Raw genomic sequence first — 24,574 nt, forward strand, 5'->3', positions numbered from 1 at the left:
TTGTTTTCTTTCGTGTTTTATTTATATATTTTTGGCAGCAAAATTGTGTTTATTAAAAAAAAAACCTGGACTATGAACACACTTCAATGCTTTGAAGAACTCCAAGCCAAATAAAAAGACCAATCAATATTAAAAGCAGTATAACTGGTTACTTTCTTAAAAATACATAAAAAGAATCAAATGCAACAGTGTAGGAAGACAATCACACCCATGTCAGAAGTCACAACTTCTTCCAAATAAAGAATATGACCCATCTGCCATATTGAATCAATATTTATTTCAGGACATGCCATGTCAAAATAAAACAAAGAGTCAACCCTTGCCTTTAACAATTATATTGTATTATAAAAGCACTTTACAACTCCATCCCATCTTTAAGTATAAGTTACTGGTATGTGGGCTAATGATTATCTGTAAGCATTTCTCTATTCAGATCCATAATCCAAGTGCTCTCTGAATATTACAAGGTGACAATAAGTGGGAAGTGGAGGAGGAAGAGGAAAGAGAGGGGACTAAGGTTCTCCCAGTTTAAGGTTTTGTTCCAATGAGGGGATGAGGAAGTATGAAGATATTTTTGTTGTCTTTTCATCTTTATACTGTGTTAAGTAATGCTTACAACATAAATTCAGCAGGCTTTTCCTGAGCTGTAACTCAGAAGTTTTCGTCCTGCAAACAATGTATTTACAAATGTGTTTATTAGCTTACACAGCAATCTCACAATAACTAGTAAAGATTAAAAGGGCACACTCCTAGTATATTTGTTTGCAGTGTTTTAAGGGAAATACATATTGCCATGGTGAAGCTCTAAATAGATTCAACGAAACATCTGAAGATTGAAAGTTGTTAAAAAAAAAAAAGGCAAAGAAATAAATATCACCAAAGAAAAAAGATTAATTGTAGCTTAAATATAAAACTAAATCACCAGTTAATTAAACTATACAGATCTAATACAAACCAAAACCAGCCTGAAAGACCCAACCTTAAAAAATGCTAAAAAATAAGGCATAAATCTGCATAATATTGAGTTTTATTTCCATTCTCTCCTTTCCCTCTACTATGTATGCTTTACCTGATCTGCCTCTAGGGGCTTACAAGAAAACGGTTTCCGGTTTCCGTCTTCAATTTGACCTCAAATGTCCTGAGCAAAGTTTTTGTTATTCTGCTGAGGGTTCTTTTGTTGGTAAGCTTTAGACATCATTATTTCTACTAATTCAGTAGTTTTGATCGTAGCGCCAAATTTAAATTCTTCCACTGGTTCTTCTGGAAGGAATTAAAACTTTTACAGTGCCTTGCCTGCACAGTATTATGTTTTTAAAAAAGAAAACCCAAGCAAAATCTATTGCTTAAAGAGGTTTCTTATTTTTTAAACAAACAGAATAACTCTTGACAATTTTAAAACCTTGGGAGAAACAGTTCATTAGAACTTCATTTTCTTACCGTGAAGAATTAAATACTAAAAACCTGTTCTGAAGCACTTGGTTAATTTTCTCTCCCAGAGTCTAATAAAGCACATGTGAAAGAGCCATTTGTTTTAGTCAGAAATACATCTTATGTTCTTCTACTTCTAAGTACTCAGTATGTTCTTTAGGACTCATTTTGAAGATGCACCAGGAGCCTTTTCTCATTCAAGCACTGCCTACCATGATGGCTGAATTTTGACCTCAAAGAAGACCGTAATTTATATCAGTGCTCAAGAATAATTTTGGACATCTTGGTCCGTAGCCTACAGCAAGTGGTATCTGTAAAATTAAAGGATAATTCCAATGGGCTTGGTAGAACTGCTGCTTTGCCATCTCTTGTTTGTTTTGAGGAAGTCGGGGGAGGCTAGGTAAGAATAGGGTAATAGGGAATGGGGGTAAGTGAGAGGTGAGAAAAGCAAGGAGAGATAAAGTAGGCTGTGAACATACCGCTCGTTAACCAAGCCATACTCATACTGTTGAGATTTCCATCATTTTGAAGTACATTATCATAACATTAAAAAAGAAAAAAATGTTAAGAAAATGTATCTAATTTTTAAAGTTATCACTGGAATATGCTGAAATATTTTGGCTTTTTGTAAAATATAAATAATGAAGACACTGACTTTTGTTGTGCTTGTGAAGCTAATAGATCATCTCCACGAGACAGGCAGCAATGATGAATTGCAATACGTTATTACTGAAGGGAAAAGGTTCAAGCCAATATTCACACTGCAGTCAATGAAAGAGTAAGGGGGCCAAAGCAGTGAGCTTCTGAAGAAGGTTGAAGATGACATGGGAGATTAGCAGGAACAGCCTCCTTCACTGACTGGTTGCTCCTGAGGCTTTTCCAGTTTTATGTCAATCACTGAAACAAAAGTTAAGAAGCCATAAATGGGAAAGTACAATTTCAATTCTTCCAAACACTAGCATTTCTGGGATGGCCCTTATATTCCTATCTGTCTTCAGAGCCTACACACTCACTATTTTCTACATAGCCGCCTCACCATATAAGGTGCTCAAATGGAATAAACTTGTTTATATCTACTATATGCAACAAGGGTCAGAATGAGGTACAAGCTCTATTTATGGGTATCTATCCTAAGGAACTTATTCTACAGTGGCAAGAAGTGATATGAAGATGATGTTCCTCATAGAATCATCTATAATATAAATCTGAAAATAGCCTACAAGATAGTTCCAACAGCAGAGGAAACATTTAGTAAATAATGGGACTTCAGGCCGGGTGCCGTGGCTCATGCCTGTAATCCCAACACTTTGGGAGGTTGAGGCAGGCCGAACACCTGAGGTCAGGAGTTCAAGACCAGCCTGGCCAACATGGCGAAACCCCATCTCTACTAAAAATATAAAAATTAGCTGGGCATGGTGGCTCATGCCTGTATTCCCAGCTACTTGGGAGGCTGAGGCAGGAGAATCACTTGAATTCAGGAGGCAGAGGTTGTGGTGAGCTGAGATTGCGCTGCTGCACTCCAGCCTGGGCGACAGAATGAGACTCCATCTCAAAAAAAAACGGCGGTGGGCGCGGGGACATACTTCAACTCAATAGAACATTTTTTGTTGTTGTTGTTGTTTTGTTTTTGAAACATATTATGTTTTATGTTGTTGTTGTGTTTTTTTTTTTGGGGGGGGAATGGAGTTTCGATCCTGTTGCCCAGGCTGGAGTGCAATGGCGTGATCTCGGCTCACTGCAACCTCTGCCTCCTGGGTTCAAGCAATTCTCCTGCCTCAACCTCCTTAGTAGCTGGGATTACAGGCGTGCACTATCACGCCCAGGTAATTTTTTTATTTTTAGTAGAGACAAGGTTTCTCCATGTTGGTCAGGCTGGTCTTGAACTCCCGACCTCAGGTGATCCACCTGCCTTGGCCTCCCAAAGTGCTGGGATTACAGGCATAAGCCACCGCGCCCGGCCTGTTTTATGTTTTTTATGAAAACATATAACATTTACAAGTGGGAAGAGCTGAATACAAAGTGCTACAAACTATATGGCTTAATAAAAATGCCTGCATATGGAAATACACTAGAAGGTGAATATGAAACACTGAAAACATCAAATTAAAAATCCTTAGAATTAACTAATATTAGATGTCCCAATCCTTGGAAATGAACTAATATTATGTCCTGTTTCTGAAAGCAGAGGCTACAATAAAGCTCCACTCTATTTCTTGCCTGTGTCAAGTAGAAAGCTCAAGTGTTAGAAAAAGAAATGAAAATTTGATATTCCATGAGGAAAAAGCCTAGAGTCAATGGGACTCAAAATGAAGAGGCAAGGACACAGGGATTCTAAGAGTTTCCTGCTCATTTAAAAGCAAGCAAACAAACACAAAACCTCTCACTGATTAACAACGAGAAGCAGGCTGCAAAGGGTGCACTTGGATAACCAGACCTCATTTGCTATAGAAAACAAATGAATTTCTATGCCTTTAAGTCATCAGTTCCTGGTTGTAAAAGGCAATGGCACAATATTCTTTAGCCAAGCAAGCAGGGCTCTAAAGACTAGTGTTAATAATGAAAAATTTCCAATGAAATAAAAAGGATACTATCTTCTCTGCTTCTGTCCTGTGTGCTTTCCATTCCCGGCAAAGCTGCTGCTACACGTCGAAAGAGCTGTGGGAAAGAGAGAAAAGTGATAACTGAGAGGGAACATTTAGCAAAGGGTACTGAGGTTTATGATCACTGTACAGTGAGCTGTCTAATGCTGGGCGCAGTGGCTCACACCTGTAATCCCAGCACTTTGGGACCCACCCGAGGTGGGCAGATCACTTGAGGTCAGGAGTTTGAGACCAGCTTGGGCAACATGGTGAAACTCTGTCTCTACAAAAAAAAACACAAAAATTAGCCAGGCGTGGTGGCACACGCCTATAGTCCTAGGTACTGGAGAGGCTGAACCTGGAGGACTGCTTCAGCTCAGGAAGTGGAGGCTGCAGGGAGCTGAGATCACGCCACTGCACTCCAGCCCGGGCAACAGGGCGAGACTCTGTCTTTAAATAAATAAATAAATAAATAATAAAATAAAATGTCTATTCATTCTATAAACGAGTATTATATAAAAAGCAATATACCAAATACAAAGAGGTATAAAGACATGATTCCTGTTTTTTTAACTGGTGGGATAAGACAAAAGTAAACAGCTATGAAATAAGCAGCAAAAATGTCATTTGAATAATAAAGTATTACAGAAACGCAGAAAAAGGACAGATCATTCATTTAACAAAACTGTATAGTAGCATTCCTATCTTTCATATAAAGAGTGAGGTTCAGGGCTGGACGCGGTGGCTCACGCCTGTAATCCCAGCACTTTGGGAGGCCAAGGGGTGTGGATCACGAGGTCAGGAGTTCAAGACCAGCCTGGACATGGTGAAACCCTGTCTCTACAGAAAATACAAAAATGAGCTGGGTGTGGTGGCACATGCCTGTAATCCCAGCTACTTGGGAGACTGAGGCAGGAGAATCACTTGAACCTGGGAGGCGGAGGTTGCAGTGAGCCAAGATCACGCCACTGCATTCCAGCCTGGGCGACACAGCAAGACTTCTTCTTGGCGGGGGTGTGGGGGGGAGAGTTAGGTTCTGAAGTCAGTGTATAATATATTGTGAAACTCAGTCCAGTCAAAATTATCCTTCATCGTTCATTAGAAAAGCACTATGTTAGAGATTAATACACCACCCCTCAAGTCCAACACAGCTGGCTTTTCTTCCATCATTGGAATGAGTGTCAGTGGGAGTGGCTGGCTTGTGTTTGAGGTATGAAGCTATGAAAAGTTATCTTCAACAGGAGAAACGCACTCAAGCCTGGTGAGATGTTTACTTTTGAGAGGCATATGAGAACAGATACTGGAACAACAGTTTATACTTCTTATATTGTCCCAATCTTAGGCATACACCCACTGGGTACAACAGCCAGTGAAACTGCCTGATTATTTCAATTATTTATCTTTTAATTAAGCACACAGTGTAAACCCATAAATTAAATGCATATGTGCTGTAACTCCTTTGTACCAAGTACTTGCTTACTTGAGGCAGTGTATCAGGCAGCCTCATTCTGTGTCTTTGAGACACAGAAATGAACAAGAAAAAACAGTTTTTTAATTCAAGGAGCTCAAAATCTGGTAAAGGAGATACTCAAACAATTCTTTATATTACAATGTGATGCTACAAACAAAGTAAGTTTAAAATGCTCTGAGAATACAGATGTAACAAGGTCCAACTCAGGAGGCTGAAAAAAATCTTTTAGGAGGTAACATCTGAGTTGAGATTTAAAGGCAGTCTTAAAACCTCACTTGGCTGAAATACATGCATAAAATGCTCAGGGTTTAAGTGCTCTATAAGTATTACTGAATTAAACGAAGAAAGAACAGAATGCCTAGAAGGACAGAGATAAGAGACTGGAACTACAACTAATATGTTTAAAAATGTATCAGGCCAGACTTGGTGGCTCACGCCTGTAATCTCAGCACTTTGGGAGGCCAAGGAAGGCAGATTACGAGGTCGAGTTTGAGACCAGCCTGGCCAACATGGTGAAACCCCGTCTCTACTAAGAATACAAAAATTAGCCAGGCGTGGTAGCGCATGCCCGTAATCCCAGCTACTCGGGAGGCTGAGGCAGAAGAATCGCTTGAACCCAGGAGCCGGAGGTTGCAGTGGACCAAGATCTTGCCACTGCACTGCAGCCTGGGCGACAGAGCAAGACTCTGTCTGGAAAAACAACACAAAAAAAATGTATAAAGGAGCAAATTGTAAAATTTTGATCTGGTAGACAAAAGCCTGATAGGGTAGGTGCAGGGATATGAAAATGGGGAAAACTCTAATTGTCTTGTTTCTATAAGGTTCAGTAGCTTTTTTAGAGATGTACCAAAATTAGGCTTTACCCCAATATTCAATCCACATCAGCTGTAAGACTTTGAATTGCGGAACACTTACCTTAACATCATTTCTGGTACACCATCAAAGATCATGTAGCTGTATAAATTACCATCATGTCAAATCAATATAACATTAATTATATACGGTGGGTCCATCTGGATTAATATGTGAATATTAGGTTTGAAACATAGATAAATATTCTAGCTGAGTGTGGCGACACGAGCTTGTAATCCTAGCTACTTGGAAGCCTGGGGTGGGAAAATCAAGCAATTGAGCCCAGAAGTTTGAGACCACTGGCAACACAGAGAGACCTTGTTTTAAAAAACAAACAAAAAACATTCTAAGAGTGAATGCTGCAACAATTAATGACTGTGAAAGCTGTTAATTTTATGAACAAAAAAATAAGTAGGCCGAGCATGGTGGCTCACGCCTGTAATCCCAGTACTTTGAGAGGCTGAGGCGGGTGGATCACGAGGTCAGGAGATCGAGACCATCTTGGCTAACACAGTGAAACCCCATCTCTACTAAAAATACACAAAATTAGCTGGGCATGATGGCACATGCCTGCAGTCCCAGCAACTAGGGAAGCTGAGGCAGGAGAACTGCTTGAACCCGGGAGGTGGAGGATGCAGTGAGCCAAGATGGTGCCACTGCACTCCACCCTGGGCAACAGAGCGAGACTCCATCTCAAAGAAAAAAATCTTTATTTGAGAAGGGTCTTGCTCTGTCACCCAGGCTGGAGTACAGTGGCATGATCATAGCTCACTGCAGCCTTGACCTCCTGGGCTGAAGTGATCCTCCCACCTTGGCATTCCAAAGTGTTGGGATTACAGATATGAACTATTATACCCCGTTTAAACCAGCAAGGGTTTCTAAAAGTTTAATAATATAAGGTTAGGCAATCCTGATCTTTTTTATGAGCATTAAACAATGAATTAAAAGCAGAATATAAACTTTGTCAGCTCAAAATTTCATGCATTAGGAAAAACTCCAATGTCCATTAATAAACCACCTTTCATCAAGACATAAAGAATACAGGGTATGAAGGAAAACATATTTTATAGAAATTGAGTCAAAAGTGTTCTCCCACCAATATCAGCTGAAAACTTGAAAATCACAATCTATTTATTATCACAAATAGGCAGTAAGTATAGTGACTACAGAAACAATCTAGTACCTGACAATGTGACACTCTATCAAACGTTAACAGCATTTTGCAGATACATTTTTTATTTTTGTATACAGAAATTCACTGCATAATAACGATATAGACCCATCTTTTTTTTTTTTTTTTTTTTTGGAGATATGGTCTTGCTCTGTCACCCAAGCTGGAGTGCAGTGGCACAATCATGGCTCCCTGAGGTCTCGACCTCATGGGCTCAAGTAATCCTCCCACCTCAGCCTCCCAAGTAGCTGGGACTACAGGGGCATGCCACCACACCTGGCTAATTTTTGTATTTTTTTTGTAGAAAAGAGGTTTTGCCATGTTACCCAGGGTGGTCTCCAACTCCTGAGCTCAAGTGATCTGCCTACCTCAGCCTCCCAAAGTGCTGGGATTACAGGCATGCACCACCGCACCTGGTGGCACTATTTTTTTTAGATGCAGTCTCACTTTGTCACCTAGGCTGGAGTGCAGTGGCACAATCTCAGCTCGCCACAACCTCCGCCTCCTGGGTTCAAGTGATTCTCCTGCCTTATCCTTCCAAGTAGCTGGTACCACAGGTGTGCGCCACCACACAGGGCTAATTCTTGTATTTTTAGTAGAGATGGGGTTTCACCATGTTGGCCGGGCTAGTCTTAAACTCCTGACCTCAGGTGATCCACCTGCCTCAGCCTCCCAAAGTGCTGAGATTAAAGGCATGTGCCACTGCGACTGGACTGAAATGCCAATTTTGAAAGAAGTTCTACTATGGGTAAAATACTATGAAACAGCATTGCATGCTACAGAGAAATCATTTGTGATAAAAGAATCGATCAATGCAGAAAACTACATTGTATTAATAGTATTATTTTAAGAAATTGCCACAGCCACTCTAGCCTTCAGCAACTACTACCCTCATCGGTCAGCAGACATTAACATCAAGGCAAGACCTTCCAACAGCAAAAACATTATGATTTGCAGAAGGCTACGATCAGATGATCATTAGCATTTTTTAGTAATAAAGTATTTTTTAATTAAGATACATACATTGTTGTTTTTTTTTTTTTTCTGAGACAGAGTTTTGCTATCTGTCCCCCAGGCTGGAGTGCAGTGGTACTATCTAGGCTTACCGCAACCTCTGCCTCCCAGGTTCAAGCGATTCTCCTGCCTCAGCCTCCTGAGTAGATGAGATTACAGGCATCGGCCACCACATCTGGCTAAATTTTGTATTTTTAGTAGAGACAGGGGTTCATTGTACTGGCCAGGCTGGTCTCGAACTCCTGACCTCAAGTGATCCACGCATCTTGGCCTCCCAAAGTGCTGTGATTACAGGCATGAGCCACCACGTGTGGCCAGATATGTACATTGTTTTTACAGACATAATGCTATTAATAGAGTACAGTATAGTATAAACATAACTCACACACATTGGAAACCAGAAAATTCATGTGACTCATTTTATTGATATATTCACTTTATTGTAGTGATCTAGAGCCAGACTGCAGTATCTCCGAGGTACACCTGTATGCAGTTTTGGCCTCAATGATTTTAACACCTGGCCATCTAGTCAGAATGTATATTCAGCACATTTCTCTTTCAGTAGAGATGAGGACAAAGGAAAAGAAGTGGCAAAGATTTCACAGGGAAGAGTTTCCTGAACACATGTTCACAGATAGAAAAGTACAAGGTATACTTAAGAATGCTTATGTAGTCCAGACTGGTTGGAGCACAGAATATGTAAAATAATTACGATAAGGATATATACATATTGGAGGCCAGACTGAGAAAGACCTTCCCTCACATCCTGTGGGTAAAGGAAGCCACTAAAAATAGTAGTTTGCTCTCAGACTTCCATCAATAATTCCATTGTCTTAATATGGCTAAAGAGATATACAAATCACATAGTGAAATTGAAAGGTATTAAGCAGAATGGCAAAAAGCAAAAAACTAAAAGGTAAAGTGTGGATAGCAGTACAGTGTAGTAGTTAACAGCCTGGGCTTGGGCCCTAGGTAGGCCACTTAAGTGACAGATCATGTAATCTTCGTTCCTCTGTTCCCTGATGTGTAAGATGGGCTTAAAATAATAGTATACTTGCCTGATTAGATTATTGTGTAAGTTAAGGGAAATAATTATGCAAAGTGTTTTAGTACTGACCTGCTATATAGAAAGTCTTTTTTTTTTTTTTTTTTTTGAGACGGAGTCTCGCTCTGTTGCCCAGGCTGGAGTGCAGTGGCGCGATCTCAGCTCACTGCAACCTCTGCCTCCTGGGTTCAAGCTGTTCTCCTGCCTCAGCCTCCCGAGTAGCTGGGACTACAGGTGCCTGTGCCACACCCGGCAAATTTTTTGCAATTTTAGTAGAGACGGTGTTTCACTGTGATAGCCAGGATGGTCTCGATCTCCTGAGCTCATGATCCGCCTGCCTCAGCCTCCCAAAGTGCTGGGATTACAAGTGTGAGCCACCACGCCCGGACTGAAAGTAGCGACCAGGTGCGGTGCCTCACGCCTGTAATCCCAGGACTTTGGGAGGCCAAGACGGGTGGATCATCTGAGGTCAGGAGTTTGAGACCAGCCGGGCCAACATGGTGAAACCCCATCTCTATTAAAAATACAAAAAAAAAAAATAGCCAGGTGTGGTGGCAGATGCCTGTAATCCTAGCTACTTGGGAGGGTGAGGCAGGAGAATCGCTTGAACCGGGGAGGTGGAGGTTGCAGTGAGCCGAGATTATGCCACTGCACTCCAGCCCAGGCAACAAGAGTGAAACTCCGTCTCAAAAAAAAAAAAAAAAAAAAAAAGCAGCTTTATTTCTACCAGAGACAATAACTCTATCAGAGATAAATGAACTCATGGGCCTGCAGGCTTGGGGAACAGAGAATTTTGCCAAATGTTATACAATTCTGCAGTGAATTCTAGGACTAGAACAAAACACCCACAGGCTCAATTCTGCTTTAAAAAGGAACTATAAAAAACTGGTGGGAAAGATGTGGGGGTTGGGGGAGACCTTTTAAAAATATTACAGCAGAGCTGAAACTTCCTTACTTAGGAATATCTAGAAATTGTCCTCATAATATTACAACTTGCTTCTGACATGAAATATTTATTAAACTGCTTGCCTATTCAAGATGCATAATCTTTTCGGCTCTTAAGAATACCAGATTTAGGCTGGGTGCAGTGGCTCACGCCTGTAATCCCAGGACTTTGGGAGGCAAAGGTGGGGGGATCATTTGAGGTCAGGAGTTCGACCAGCTTGGCCAACATGGTGAAACTCCATCTCTACTAAAAATACAAAAATTGGCTGGGTGTGGTGGCAGGCACCTGTAATCCCAGCTATTCAGGAGGCTGAGGTAGTAAAATCGCTTGAACCCGGGAGGCGGGGGTTGCAGTGACCCAGAGATCGCGCCACTGCACTCCAGCCTAGATGACAGAGTGAGACTCTGTCTAAAAACAAAACAAAACAAAAACCAGGTTTATTATCAGCTAGCTTGAAAACCGAAAATCTTTTCAAGAGGGAGGCATAGGAAAGGTTTGGCTACTTTCTAAGTAGAGCTTGTGAAAATGGAATAAAATTAGGTTTACAAGTTTTCAGACTTTTAAATAATGAAAATAGGTTCTCTTTAGTGAAAAGTACATAACTAACAAAGTATTCCAGGGCAAGTACTGCTATATTCACATATCTACCTATTTTCATTATATATATACATATACTGCTTCATAACATCTATTTTAACATTCCTTAACATATGGTCCAGCAGTTCTACTTGGGAGTATATATTCAAAAGAATTGAAAGCAGTAAACAGATATTTGCACACCAATGTTCATGGCAGCATTATTGACAATAGCCAAAAGGTAGAAACAACCCACGTGCTATATATGTAAATATATATTATATATTATACATAGTATATCCATAAAATGCAGTATTATTCTGCCTTAAAAAGGAAAGAAATTCTGACACCTACTACAATATGGATGCATCTTGAGGACATTATGCAAGTGAAACAAGTCACACACAAAGGAACAAATATTGTATGAGTTCACTTATATGAGATACCTAGAGTAATCAAATTCACAGACACAAAGTAGAATGGCTGGCTGTCAATGGCTGGGGGAAGGGGGAAATAAGGAGTTATTATTTAATGGGTACAGAATGTCAATTTTACAAGAATGAAAAGGGTTCTGGATGGATAGCAGTGATTTTTGCACTATAGTGTGAATGTACTTTAAAAAAATCCTATTTTGTCTACGGAAAATGGATACAATCTTAGGATAATGAACACAATCTTAGGCACAAACTCTTGGGCTCAAGCAATCCTCTCATCTTGGCCTCCCAAAATGCTGGGATTTTAGGTGTGAGCCACTGTGCCCAGCTCAAGAGAGGCACTCGCTAAATATTTTCTGGACTAGTCTATTTTTTCTCCATTCCTATTGTCATTATTCATTGTTGAAAAGTACATGGGGCCAGGCACGGTGGCTCATGCCACTCGTAATCCCAGCACTTTGGGAGGCCGAGGTGGGCGGATCACCTGAGGTTAGGAGTTCCAGGCCAGCCTGGCTAACATGATGAAACCCCGTTTCTTTTAAAAATACAAAAAATTAGCCAGGTGTGGTGACCGATGCCTGTAATCCCAGCTACTTGGGAGGATGAGGCAGGAGAATTACTTGAACCCGGGAGGCGGAGGTTGCAGTGAGCCGAGATTTCACCACTGCACTCCAGCTTGGGCAACAAGAGGGAAACTCCATCTCAAGAAAAAAAAAGAAGTCACGGATGTTACCTTGTAGACTGTCAAGTAATTTGGATTTGCTTGTTGCTTCCTAATGTTTAGTTTTACCTTACTCACTTTTTGTCAGTAATACTACAGAAGAGATAGTGTCTTTCTTAGTGTATCATATCAGGAGGCACCTTATGCTGGTTTGTGCCCTTACTGGTGAAGTGAATTTTAGCCACTTGGTTAAATTAAGGTAGAGCTGGTCAAGTTTCTTCACTGCCAAATTACCAACTTTCCTTTTGTGATTAATAAGTATGAGAGGAGATTCTCTGCAATTATGTATATCTCTTATCATTCTTTGTCAAATTTTCACTTTAAGGTTTTAATACCAATTGGTGATTTTTGCCCAAATAAATCATTACTGTGACTTCTGAAAAAAGATTACTAAATATCCTTTCATTGTCTCATGGTCTGCTGAACTCTGGATCTAGGCTGGGTCAGTAGGGCTGTGCAGTGCCTCTTGTGCCTGTCTCTGTCTCTTGAAGTCCTATTTACCATCTCTGGAAGGCTTAGTTTGCAGTCTCAACAGCGGGGTAGACTCCCAGGAAGAGAGAGACAGATTTGAGCCTAGTTGATGATATATAAAATACAATGAATTAGTCTCTGTGTCCATCACGTTCTGGCTCCGGAGAAATAAGAGAATTGCTAATGAGTTGGTGCCATTCTGTGTACTTTCTATATCTTGAACTCTTAAGAGATCTTGTCCCTGGGTCTTCTGCTAAGGATTTACCACCTGACTCTAGTATAGTATCACATTACAGATAAAGGAAATCAAAATATCTTACCCCCAAATAACATTCTTTTTGCCATAAATAGCCCTGCAAAGGGCCACTTTGTGAAGAGAAAACTTGCATCTGTAAAACATTTCTATTTACATAAGTAGATTTTTTCCCCTTCCAGGTTCTCCCAATCCTGAAGAGATTAACTCAGAGTCTAGCAACTTTTAAAGGTCTAAATAAGAAACACTTGCCACCAGGCAGTGGCTCACTCTTGTAATCCCAGCACTTTGGGAAGCCGAGGTGGTTGGATCATTTGAGCCCAGGAGTTCCAGACCACCCTGGGCAACACAGGGAGACCTTGTCTCTATAAAAAATTAGCCAGGTGTGGTGGTAGGCTCCTGTAGTCCAAGCTATTCAGGAGGCTGAGGTGGGAAGAGCATTTGAGCCCAGAAGTTGAGGCTGTAGTGAGCTGTGATTATGCCACTGCACTCCAGCCTGGAAGACAGAGGGAGACCCTGTCTCAAGAAAAAAAAAAAAATTGCTTCTAAGGGCAGCCACCTATGAGACTTCATTTACATCAGCGATCCCCAACCTTTTTGGCACCAGGGACCGGTTTCCTGTAAGACAATTTTTCCATGGACTGGGGTGCAGATAGTTTTGGGATGAAACTGTTCCACCTGTGATTTTCAGGCATTACTTAGATTCTTGTAAGGAGTGTGCAACCTAGATCCCTCCAATGTGCAGTTCACAATAGTGTTCATGCTCCTAGGAGAATATCATGTTGCCATTGATCTGACAGGAGGCAGAGCTCAGGCTGTAATGCTGGCTTACCTGCTGCTCATCTCCTGCTGTGTGGGTTGGTTCCTAACAGGCCACGGACCAGTATTGGGCTGTGGCCCAAGGGTTGGGGACCCCTGACCTACATCGTAATAACCTTGGTCTCCACAACCTTTTATCTTAGCCTAGACACTCCTCCTTTCTATTGATTCCAGGTCTTTAGATAACTCTTTCAACCAATTGCCACTCAGAAAATCTCTGAATCCACTTATGACCTACAAGTTCCCCTCAACCCCCACCACCACTTTGGGTTGTCCTACCTTTCCAGACCAAACCAATGTCTATGTCATATGTACGGACTGAGGTCTTATGTTTCCCTAAAATGTATAAAACCAAGCTGTAACCCAACTACTTTGGGCAGATGTTCTCAGAATCTCGACTGTGCCTCTGTGGAGGTTGCAGTGAGTGGACATTGCAACACTGCACCCCAGTCTGGGCAACACAGTGAGACTCCGTCTCAAAAAAAAAAAAAAAAAAAAAAGACCGACTCAGGCATGATCACTCATATTTGGCTCAAAATAGACCTCTTTAAATATTTTACAGTTTGGCTTTTTTTGTCAACACTCTGGAGGAGGGGAAAACTTCTTTTCACATGGTGTAAGGCAGAAAGGGTAAAAGCCTATTTCCATAATTTAATACAGCATTTAATGTGCATATAGAAAGAGCATAGAATACAAGCCCAGAAAGAAACTCTACTATTAACTACCCCATTATTACAGCTTTGTAATCTCAAGGATATTTACTATCTCTAATTCTTAGATTCATTCTAATAAAAAGGGGATACAGTTGTGAAGTTCAAAGGACACAATGATGATGCTTCTCCTTGGAATACCCTCCCAGTTCAATTTGCCTAGCTGACACTCATCCTTCAGGACCCATTCCTTGATAACTCCTTAAAAGCTTCTCTAACTCACTCCCCAGTTCCTTAAATCTTCTTCCTCCTGTCTAATAAAATCTTTTTAAAAAATACACTGTCTCACTGTGTTGCCAGGCTGGAGTGCAATGAAAATGTGATCATAACTCATGATAGCCTTGAACTCCTGGGTTCAAGCAATCCTCCTGCCTCAGCCTCCTGAGTAGCTAGGACTACAGGGATGTGCCAAGGCACCCAGCTAATTCTTTTTTTTTTTTTAACATTTTCAAATAATTTATTAGGAATTTAAAACTGAAAATAAAACCTGGAAAAAGAAGTTACAGATGTGGAGAGAAGAGACACCGGAGGGTGGTAACTTGCTGGCTTCGAAATACCATGTAACATCTTAAAAAAAAAAAAAAAAAAAACCCAAACAAATCAGCAAACGGAATTCCAGGGTTCTGAGCCCATGGTTGGGTCCAGTGGGGTGGAAGGGTCCGGGTATGGGGGACAGGGAAGCTAAGTGTCTCTGGACTCAGCTCAAATGTGTAGAAAATTAAAAATAAAAACCAACAAAATGCAGCTTCTTTTATTAGGAAACATTAAAAAAAAAAAACCCAAAACACGAACAGCCGCATCTCAGTAACAAAGATTACTGCTTTGTGTTCTCAGGCCTGATAGGTTAAGCACCTCACACAGAAAATTAACTCTCCAAAGGCGGGGTTTTTCGGGGGTGGGGGGGCGATGCTGGGGAAGAGAGCTCAGGCCCTGGGCCTTAGAACTAGGGGACAGGGACACACAGAAAGGGGATGGCAGTGAGTGGGCCTTGGGCCTGCCACGCCAGCCAGGCCACTGTTAATGAAGGTCCAATGCCCTGAACTTCTCTTTTTTCCTTAGAAGGGGGCTCTGGGGTGAGGGGCTGCCAAGGGACTCTGGCTGTGGGGTCATCCTGGTGGGAAACTTCAGTGAGAGAATGTGGGGGTTCCCTGAGACGCCTTTTGCTTTCTCCTGGGGTCTGCCCTCGCCAGAGCATCCCCTGGGCACCCAGCTAATTCTTTATTTTTTGTAGGGATGGGGGTCTTGCTGTATTGCCATGGTCTCAAACTCCTGGCCTCCCAAAGTGTTGGGATCACAGGCATGAGCTACCATGCCCAGCACTAAAATATATACTCCAAGTAGCACCAGTAGTTCTTTCAGAGTTATTTACTGCACTGATTGTAATAGCCTATTTTTACTTCTCTATCTTTCCCTCTAGACTTTAAACTTCTGGAGAGCAAGGCTCTCATTTCATCTTTGTTATCCCAGTATCTGACATGCAGTAGATATTTTTCAAAATGTTAGCTAAAACAATAATTAAGGGGTGTGAAAACACATTAGGAAGCAAAAAGTGGCCAGGCACGGTGGCTCACGCTTGTAATCCCAGCACTTTGGGAGGCCGAGGCAGGCGGATGACCTGAGGTCAGGAGTTCAAGACTAGCCTGGCCAATATGGGGAAACCCCGTCTCTACTAAAAATACACACGCACACAAAAAAATTAGCTGGGCATGGTGGCTTGCGCCTGTAGTCCCAGCTACTAGGGAGGCTGAGGCAGGAGAAGCACTTGAACCTGAGAGGCGGAGGTTGCAGTGAGCCGAGATCACATCACTGCACTCCGGCCTGGGTGACAAGAGCAAAACTCTTGTCTCCAAAAAAAAAAGAAAGCAAAAAGTGCAGCACAAATGTTTATATTAGTGCCTTTACTTGCTGGCTGTTGGGTACCTATTGAACGTTAATTGTCAGATTAATTCTTTGGGTATAACTATCCACAATACTACTCAGCAGACCAACACAGACTTCAGAGAGCTTATTTTCATATCAAGTCAAAGAAAATCTGGCAATACTTATGCCCACTGAATCCTCCTGACCTCAAAAACAGAGCAAAAAAAGAAATCAAGGCCGGGCGCAGTGGCTCACGCCTGTAATCCCAGCACTTTGGGAGGCCGAGGTGGGCGGATCATGAGGTCAGGAGATCAAGACCATCCTGGCTAACAGTGAAACCCCGTCTCTACTAAAAAATACAAAAAATTAGCCGGGTGTGGTGGCAGGCGCCTGTAGTCCCAGCTACTAGGGAGGCTGAGGCAGGAGAATGGCGTGAACCCGGGAGGCGGAGCTTACAGTGAGCCGAGATTGCGCCACTGCACTCCGGCCTGAGCGACAGAGTGAGACTCTGTCTCAAAAAAAAAAAAAAAAAAAAAGGAAAGAAAAAGGAAATCAATTTATTCAGTTCTAATGGAAAAAGAAGTATAAAAGGGATTTCAAACTTACATGCATAAGAGGGTTACAGTGAGGGAAAACTCTGACTAAATTAGATGAACGTCAACTTGATAATAAACAAATGCCTGCCGGGCGCGGTGGCTCACGCCTATAATCCCAGCACTTTGGGAGGCGGGCGGATCACAAGTTCAGGAGATCAAGACCATCCTGGCTAACACGGTGAAACCCTGTCTCTACTAAAAATACAAAAAAAAAAAAAAAAAAAAAAATTAGCCGGGCGTGTTGGCAGGCGCCTGTAGTCCCAGCTACGCGGGAGGCTGAGGCAGGAGAATGGCGTGAACCCAGGAGGTGGAGCTTGCAGTGAGCCGAGATCGCGCCACTGCACTCCAGCCTGGGCTACAGAGCGAGACTGTCTCAAAAACAAAACAAAACAAAACAAAAAAACAAAAAACAAAAAAAGCCAATTATGAGTATCTTCAATTAAATATAAAAAAAGGATTTAATGGCTGGGCACAGAGGCAGATCACCTGAGGTCAGGAGTTCAAGACCAGCCTAGCCAACATGGTGAAACTCCGTCTCTACTAAAAATACAAAAATTAGCCATGCGTGGTGGCACACGCCTGTAATCCCAGCTACTCAGTAGGCTCAAGCAGAAGAACTGCTTGAACCTGGGAGGCAGAGGTTGCAGTGAGCTGCGATCACGCCACTGTACTCCGGCCTGGATGACAGAGCAAGACTCCGTCTCCAAAAAATAAATAAATAAATAAATAAATAAATAAAGGATTTAAGGATTTAATTAACATAAGCAAATATAATTGGAATGAATGAAAGTTAAGAGACCAAAAGATTAACCAGTAGGTACATGAATCAGAGAAATATGTGTTTAAAGAAAGCAACAGGGCCAGATGCAGTGGCTCACGCCTGCAATCCCAGCACTTTGGGAGGCTGAGGCGGGTGGATCACTTGGAGTGTAGGAGTTTGAGACCAGCCTGGGCAACATAGCAAGACTCCATCTTTTTTTTTTTTTTTTTTTTTTAAAGAAGAAAGAAAAGAAAGCGACAGGCTGGGCGCTGTGGCTTATGCATATAATCCCAGTACTTTGGGAGCCCAAGGCAGGAGATCACTTGAGCTCAGGGGTTCAAGACCAGCCTAGTAACATAGTGAGACCTCGTCTCTACTAAAAATTTAAAAAATCAGGTGTGGTGGTGGACGCCTGTAGTCCCTACTTGGGAGGCTGAAGTAGGAGGACTGCTTGAACCCAGGAGATGGAGGCTACAGTGAGTTATGATGGCGCCATTGCACTCCAGCTTGAGACTGTTTCAAAAAAAAAAAAGCTAGGTAAGAGTAATAGGTTAAAGTGATCCCACTGGCCCTCCCCCATCCTTATTTTTAACTTTGAAAGTTATTAGAAATACCTCAGGAAAGCTTTCTTGAAAGGTTATGTGTGAAGTCTTTCCCTCTAGACTAGTGGTTCTCAATACCTATGCGGTATCAGAATTACCTGGGAAGCTTAAAAACAAACAAAACTCCAGATGCTTGGGCCTCACCCTCAAAGACTGATTCAACTGATGTGGGGTGGGGCTGAGCCATTCGTGTTTTATTCAAATATCTCTGGATGATTCTAATGTGCAGCTAGGGTTAAGAACCAATGCTGTAGTAACAATTTTTAAGGGTGTGAAACAATCAAATCAAAGAAGGGAAGAAAAGACACTGAGTACTTACTCTGTTGGAATGTTTACGTATTTTCTCATTTTAATCCTCTTATTTGTGAGGAAAATGTTAATAACCCCATTTTAAACAAATCTAAGGCTAAAGAATTTGCCATAGACCAAATAAATGGCAGAGCTGAGATTCCAAAGCTCGTATTTTTTATAATACCTAAGCTGCCTAGTATAAATGGAGTATTTTTTATATGGAAAGCACTGTGAAAGGGCTATGTGAAGAAACAGCTAATAATCTTGGGTAAGAAGAATTTGTTTTGTAAAATACTAGTACACATAAATGACAGACACAAAAAGCTAATCCATTTTTTTACGACAAAAATTTTAGGCTGGGTGCAGTGGCTCATGCCTGTAATCCCAGCACTTTGGGAGGCCAAGATGGGATGATCACTTGGGCCCAGAAGTTCGAGATCAGCCTGGGAATAAGGAGATCCTGTCTCTACAGAAAATTAATTTAAAAATATACCAGGTCAGGCACAGTGGCTCATGCCTATAATTCCAGCACTCTGGGAGGCCAAGGTGGGCAGATCACTTGAGGCCTGGAGTTTGAGACCAGCCTGGCCAACACGGCAAAACTCTATCTTTACCAAAAAATACAAAAAATTAGCTGGGCATGGTGGCACACGCGTGCAATCCCAGCTACTCGGCAGGCTGAGGCACGAGAATCGCTTGAACCCAGGAGATTGAGGTAACAGTGAGCTGAGATCGTGCCACTGCACTCAAGCCTGGGCAACACGCAAGACTGTGTCTCAAAAAATAAAAAAAAATTAAAAATAAAAATATATCCAAATTTTTTTAATCTATAGTTTTAATCTATATATTTAACAAACTTGGTGCTTTCTCCAAAATACTCCAATTAGATTAAAAGAATCAGTGTCACTAACCTAAACTCAACTCAGGACATCCCAAAGTGGGCCAAAAAAACTTTACAAAGGTTTTCAAATTCAAACTTACTTCTTGGTTTAAAAAAAAGAAAAACCTATTTCTTAAATGCCAATGATATGCTAACAAAGGCTTCTGCCATATTAGGAATCACAAATGACTAAGTATGAGACTAGTACAGTTTGTAATACTTAAAAAAAAATCCTCATATTTACTAAGTATCCAGTTTTTTTGTTTTTTTTTTTCTTTTTTGAGACGGAGTCTCGCTCTGTCACCCAGGCTGGAATACAGTGGCGCAATCTCGGCTCACTGCAACCTCTGCCTCCCGGGTTCAAGTGATTCTCACGCCTCAGCCTCCTGAGTAGCTGGGATTACAGGCGCGTGACACCATGTCTGGCTAATTTTTTTGTATTTTTAGTAGAGATGGGGTTTCACCATGTTGGTCAGGCTGGTCTTGAACTCCTGACCTGATAATCTGCCCACCTTGGCCTCCCAAAGTACTGGGATTACAGGCGTGAGCCACTGCACCCAGCCGAGAATCCACTTTCTAGAAGACATTCTAGGGCATCTTTGCTGGAACAGCTTCTTTCCCTAAGAAACTTATTAAGTCCACGCTGACCTCCAGGTGTATGGTATTTTATTTGTAATTTCTAGGAGGCAACAGACATATTTAAGTTGCAGTGACAGCTAGTACAGTAATTAGTTCAGGGATGATGACAAGCTGAATATGGTTCTCTGTAGAAACTTTCAAGTTGAATATTTCAGGCCATAATTTTAGGGCTAAAAATTTTTTTAGGGATAATTTTAATGTAAAGAGATACACTGGAGAAGGAGATTTCAAAATAAAATCACTATGACTACCAGTTCTTACCTTATGAAGTTAACTAAGTAGTTTATAGGCAGAAATACCACCCTTCAAAGAGCAAACTAAGCTACTCAGTTTTACCAACTTACAGAAAAAATTCCATTATGAAAGTAAATGTAAGAGTAAAGAGTGTTTTATACATAACTGAATTCTTAGATGAGTGTTCATTATTTGTGGACTTTTGACTTTATTTTTATTTTTATTGAGACGGAATTTTGTTCTCATCACCCAGGCTGGAGTGCAGTGGCACAATCTCGGCTCACTGCAACCTCTGCCTCCTGGGTTCAGGCAATTCTCCTGCCTCGACCTCCTGAGTAGCTGAGATTATAGGCACCCACCACCACATCAAGCTAATTTTTGTATTTTCAGTAGAGACTTTGGCTCTGTTGGCCAGGCTGGTCTCGAACTCCTGACCTCAGGTGATCCTCCCGCCTCAGCCTCCCCAAGGTGTAGGGATTACAGGTGTGAGCCACCACGCCCAGCTGCTTTTGACTTTTTGCTAGATCTCCATCTTAATTTTGGTAGTATTTCTTAAATGAAAGATTATTTTATTACTTGTATTTAGTTTTTCAATTACTCTTAACAGATCATTTTTTACAGAAGAGCCAGTGATTTCTTTCCTTTCTTGAGACAAGGTCTTGCTCTGTCTCCCATGCATGATCATGGGTCACTGCAGCCTCATCCACCCAGGCTCAACCAATCCTCCCACCTCAGCCTCTGGAGTAGCTGGAACTACAGTCAACACACCACCATGCCTAGAATTTTTTTTTTTTTGCAGACACACACTCTCCCTATGTTGCCCAGGCTAGTCTTGAACTCCAGGGTTCAAGCAGTCCTCCCACCTTGGCCTCCCAAGGTGCTGGGATTACCGGGCATGAGCCATCGTGCCTGGCCTGATTACTTTTAAATTTTAAGTGAGATCCTGTCAAATCTCTCATGAAAATGGCTTCCTCTCTCACTGGGAATAAAATGCCAAATCCTCACTACTGCCCACATGGTCTTAAGGCCTCTGTTCTCCATAACTATCTCTGTGAGCTCTTTTCTTATCATATGCCCCTTCCTTCACTCTAGTGTAACCTTACTAATTTCCTTACTATTCCTTAAACATGACAAGTTCCTTTGAATTTGTCACTGCACTTGAAGCTTGGCATGCTCTTCCCTGGATGTATAAATGGCTCACTTTCTCAATTCCTTCAGTTCTTTGCTCAAATATCACCTTATCAGACAGGCTTTCCCTCCTTTTATAAGACATCAATATATCATAATTCCCTTCACCAGTATTCTTTATCCTTCTTACCCTACTTTATTTTTCTGTTTTTCTTTTCTTTTTTTTTCTTTTTGAAACAGTCTCACTCTGTCTCCCAGACTGGAGTGCAGTGGCATGGTCTCGGCTCACTGCAACCTCCGCCTCACTGCAACCTCCACCACCCAGGTTCAAGTGATTCTTGTGCTTCAGCCTTCTAAGTAGCTGGGATTACAGGTGAGCACCACCACACTCGGCTGATTTTCGTATTTTTAGTAGAGACGGGTTTCACTATGTTGGCCAGGCTGATCTTGAACTCCTGGCCTCAAGTGATCTGCCTGCTTCAGTCTCCCAAAACACTGGGATTACAGGCATGAGCCACTGTGCCTGGCCCCTACTTCATTTTTCTCTATAGAATCTATAACCTCCTTAAGGATTATATTTCACTAATTGTCTAACTCTCCATACCAGAATGTAAGCTCCATAATGGCACAGACTTAGGTATTTTGTTCCATTATTGTATCCCCAGTGCCTATAACATAACTAGGCATGCAGGAGGTGATCAACAAATATCTGAGTTAATTAATGACTGAATAAAACCTGATCAATATAATTTCTCTGTCAGTTCATATTCATTATACATATAGATTTCTGACCATTCAGTTATACTGAAGTCCTACTGTGGGCTGGGCATGGTGGCTCACGCCTGTAACCCCAGCACTTTGGGAGGCCAAGGTGGGCAGATCACCTGAGGTCAGGAGTTCAAGACCAGCCTGGCCAACATGGCAAAACTCCATCTCTACTAAAAAATACAAAAATTAGCCAGGCGAGGTGGAGCATGCCTATAATCCCAGCTATTCAGTAGGCTGAGGTAGGAGAATCACTTGAACCCTGGAGGCAGAGATTGCAGTGAGCCGAGATTGTGCCACTGCACTCCAGCCTGGGTGACAGAGTGAGACTCTCAAAAAAATAAATAAATAAAAATAAAAAATAAAGTCCTACTGTGTTAAGGATATGAAACACAAAAGGATAAATTGGGGTGAGGTTAAATTTGAGAGAGGCAGAATATAAGGCTTAAGATCTCAGATTTTGGAACTAAATAGACCTGGGCTCACATTGCAGTTTAAGTTATAATCTTAAGCAAGTTACTTGGCCTCTAAAACTTTGGTTTCATATCAGTGAAATGAATATACTTATCTACTTCATAGGGATATTGTGAGAATTAAGTTAAACACTTGGTACATTAAATGGATCTAGCAGATAGTATTTAGGCAATTCTAGGAAAGTTATATAATTTCTACGCTTCAGATTTTCTCTCTAAAATCAGACCAACAATAGCAGTTGACTCGTAGGATTGTTACATAGATTCCTTCTTGTATTCGACAAGTATCTAAGCACCTAGATATTGTATATAAAGTGCTTGCTAGGAAGGCAATATGAAAGATTTTAAGTGAACGTTCATGGCATAGTATTTACACTATGTGTGCTAGGTAGTCTTGTATCATACATATGTTAATTTTTCTTCTTCCTAGAAGCATCCCCAGTTACCTATCCAAATCAAGTACACTCAGTTCAGCTCAGATACTTTTTTTGCGATTTTTTTTTTTTTTTTTTTTGAGATGGAGTCTTGCTCTGTCGCCCAGGCTGTAATGCAATGGCACAATCTCAGGTCACTCCAACCTCCGCCTCCCAGGTTCAAGTGATTCTCCTGCCTCAGCCTTCCCAGTAGCTGGGATTACAGGCGCCCGCCACCACACCCAGCTAATTTTTTGTATTTTTAGTAGAGACAGAGTTTCACCATGTTGGTCAGGCTGGTCTCGAACTCCTGACCTCCGGTGATTCACCCACCTTGGCCTCCCAAGGTGCTGGGATTACATGTTTGAGCCACTGCGCCAGGCCGATAATGCTGTTTTTTAAACAAAGCATTCCTCAACCATTCTAACTATATGTGATATCATTCAATTAGTCAATAAACCTCTTTGTGCCAGCATTCGTTTTGCTTCTCTCCTTTTTAATTTTTTTGAATCAAGGGTCTTGCTCTGTCATCCAGGCTGGAGTGCAGTGGCGTGCTAATAGCTCACTGCAACCTCCAACTCCTGGGGTCAAGTGACGGTCCCATCTCAGGCTCTCTCAGGCTCCTGAATAGCTGGGACTACAGACACTCAACCAGAGCTAGGTAATTTTTAAATTTTTATTTATTTTTCATTATTCTGTAGAGACAAGTTTTCCCTTTTTTGCCAAGGCTGGTCTCAAACACCTGGCTTTCAAGCAAGCCTCCCAACTCAGGCTCAGAGGTGTGAGCCACTGCGCCTGGCCTTGCTTCTCAATAATTACGATGTATCTTACTGTCTGTAGCATTTGCTAGGAATTTATCATGTATGACCCATTCTTTACTGCACAGTCTTCATGAGAATGTGACTCTTCTTCCCAACAATATCATAAGTTTCTTGAAGTTAGGAACCACATTTTACATAACTTTTTATTTTCCAAAGTACCTACAGTGGTCTAGCGTGCCACACTTGATACCTATGGATTTAGGTACATGACAAAAGCCCAAGATTAACACCTGCTATAAGCCAACTGTGGTAGACATGGGAGATATAGTGATGAGGAAAAGATATGATCACCACCAATGCATAAGGTACATATACTATTTCAGCCAATATAAAATAATTTTCCCATACATATAACATTGCAACTCCATGGTTAGTATGTACACAAGCTTTCATTGACCTGTTAGAGCTGATGCCCATCAGCTATCACTAGTTTCTCATAAAGTCTTCTCTCTTTCAAACAAATCTTCTTTTTATGATAAGTACTAATGATTTTAGAAGTTGAAGATCAAGGAGTTTTTCTTTTCTTTTTCCATTTTTCAGTACTACAAAATATATAATAAGGTGACACCACACACTTATTGCTTCACTAAAAGAATGTACTAATTCCCAGATGAAAAGCCAG

General features: G+C 41.4%; 1 protein-coding gene and 1 pseudogene across 4 annotated transcripts in view; both read right to left on the minus strand.

Moving 5' to 3' along the window:
• The window catches only part of RAB6A (RAB6A, member RAS oncogene family), an 85,437-nt gene continuing 60,863 nt past the window's right edge, over positions 1 to 24,574 (minus strand). For all 4 annotated transcript variants that reach the window (NM_001243718.2, NM_198896.2, NM_002869.5 and 1 more), the window contains 2 exons: positions 4,017 to 4,083; positions 1 to 2,325 (listed from right to left, as the gene is read on the minus strand). In NM_001243718.2, the coding sequence (NP_001230647.1) occupies positions 2,261 to 2,325; positions 4,017 to 4,083 (132 nt within the window). In that variant the 3' untranslated portion in view covers positions 1 to 2,260. The remainder of the gene's footprint in view (positions 2,326 to 4,016; positions 4,084 to 24,574) is intronic.
• On the minus strand, positions 15,692 to 16,892 carry LOC268276 (musashi RNA binding protein 1 pseudogene; annotated as a pseudogene).

This window comes from Homo sapiens, chromosome 11 (assembly GCF_000001405.40).
Source record: "Homo sapiens chromosome 11, GRCh38.p14 Primary Assembly".
NCBI classification, from domain to species: domain Eukaryota; kingdom Metazoa; phylum Chordata; class Mammalia; order Primates; family Hominidae; genus Homo; species Homo sapiens.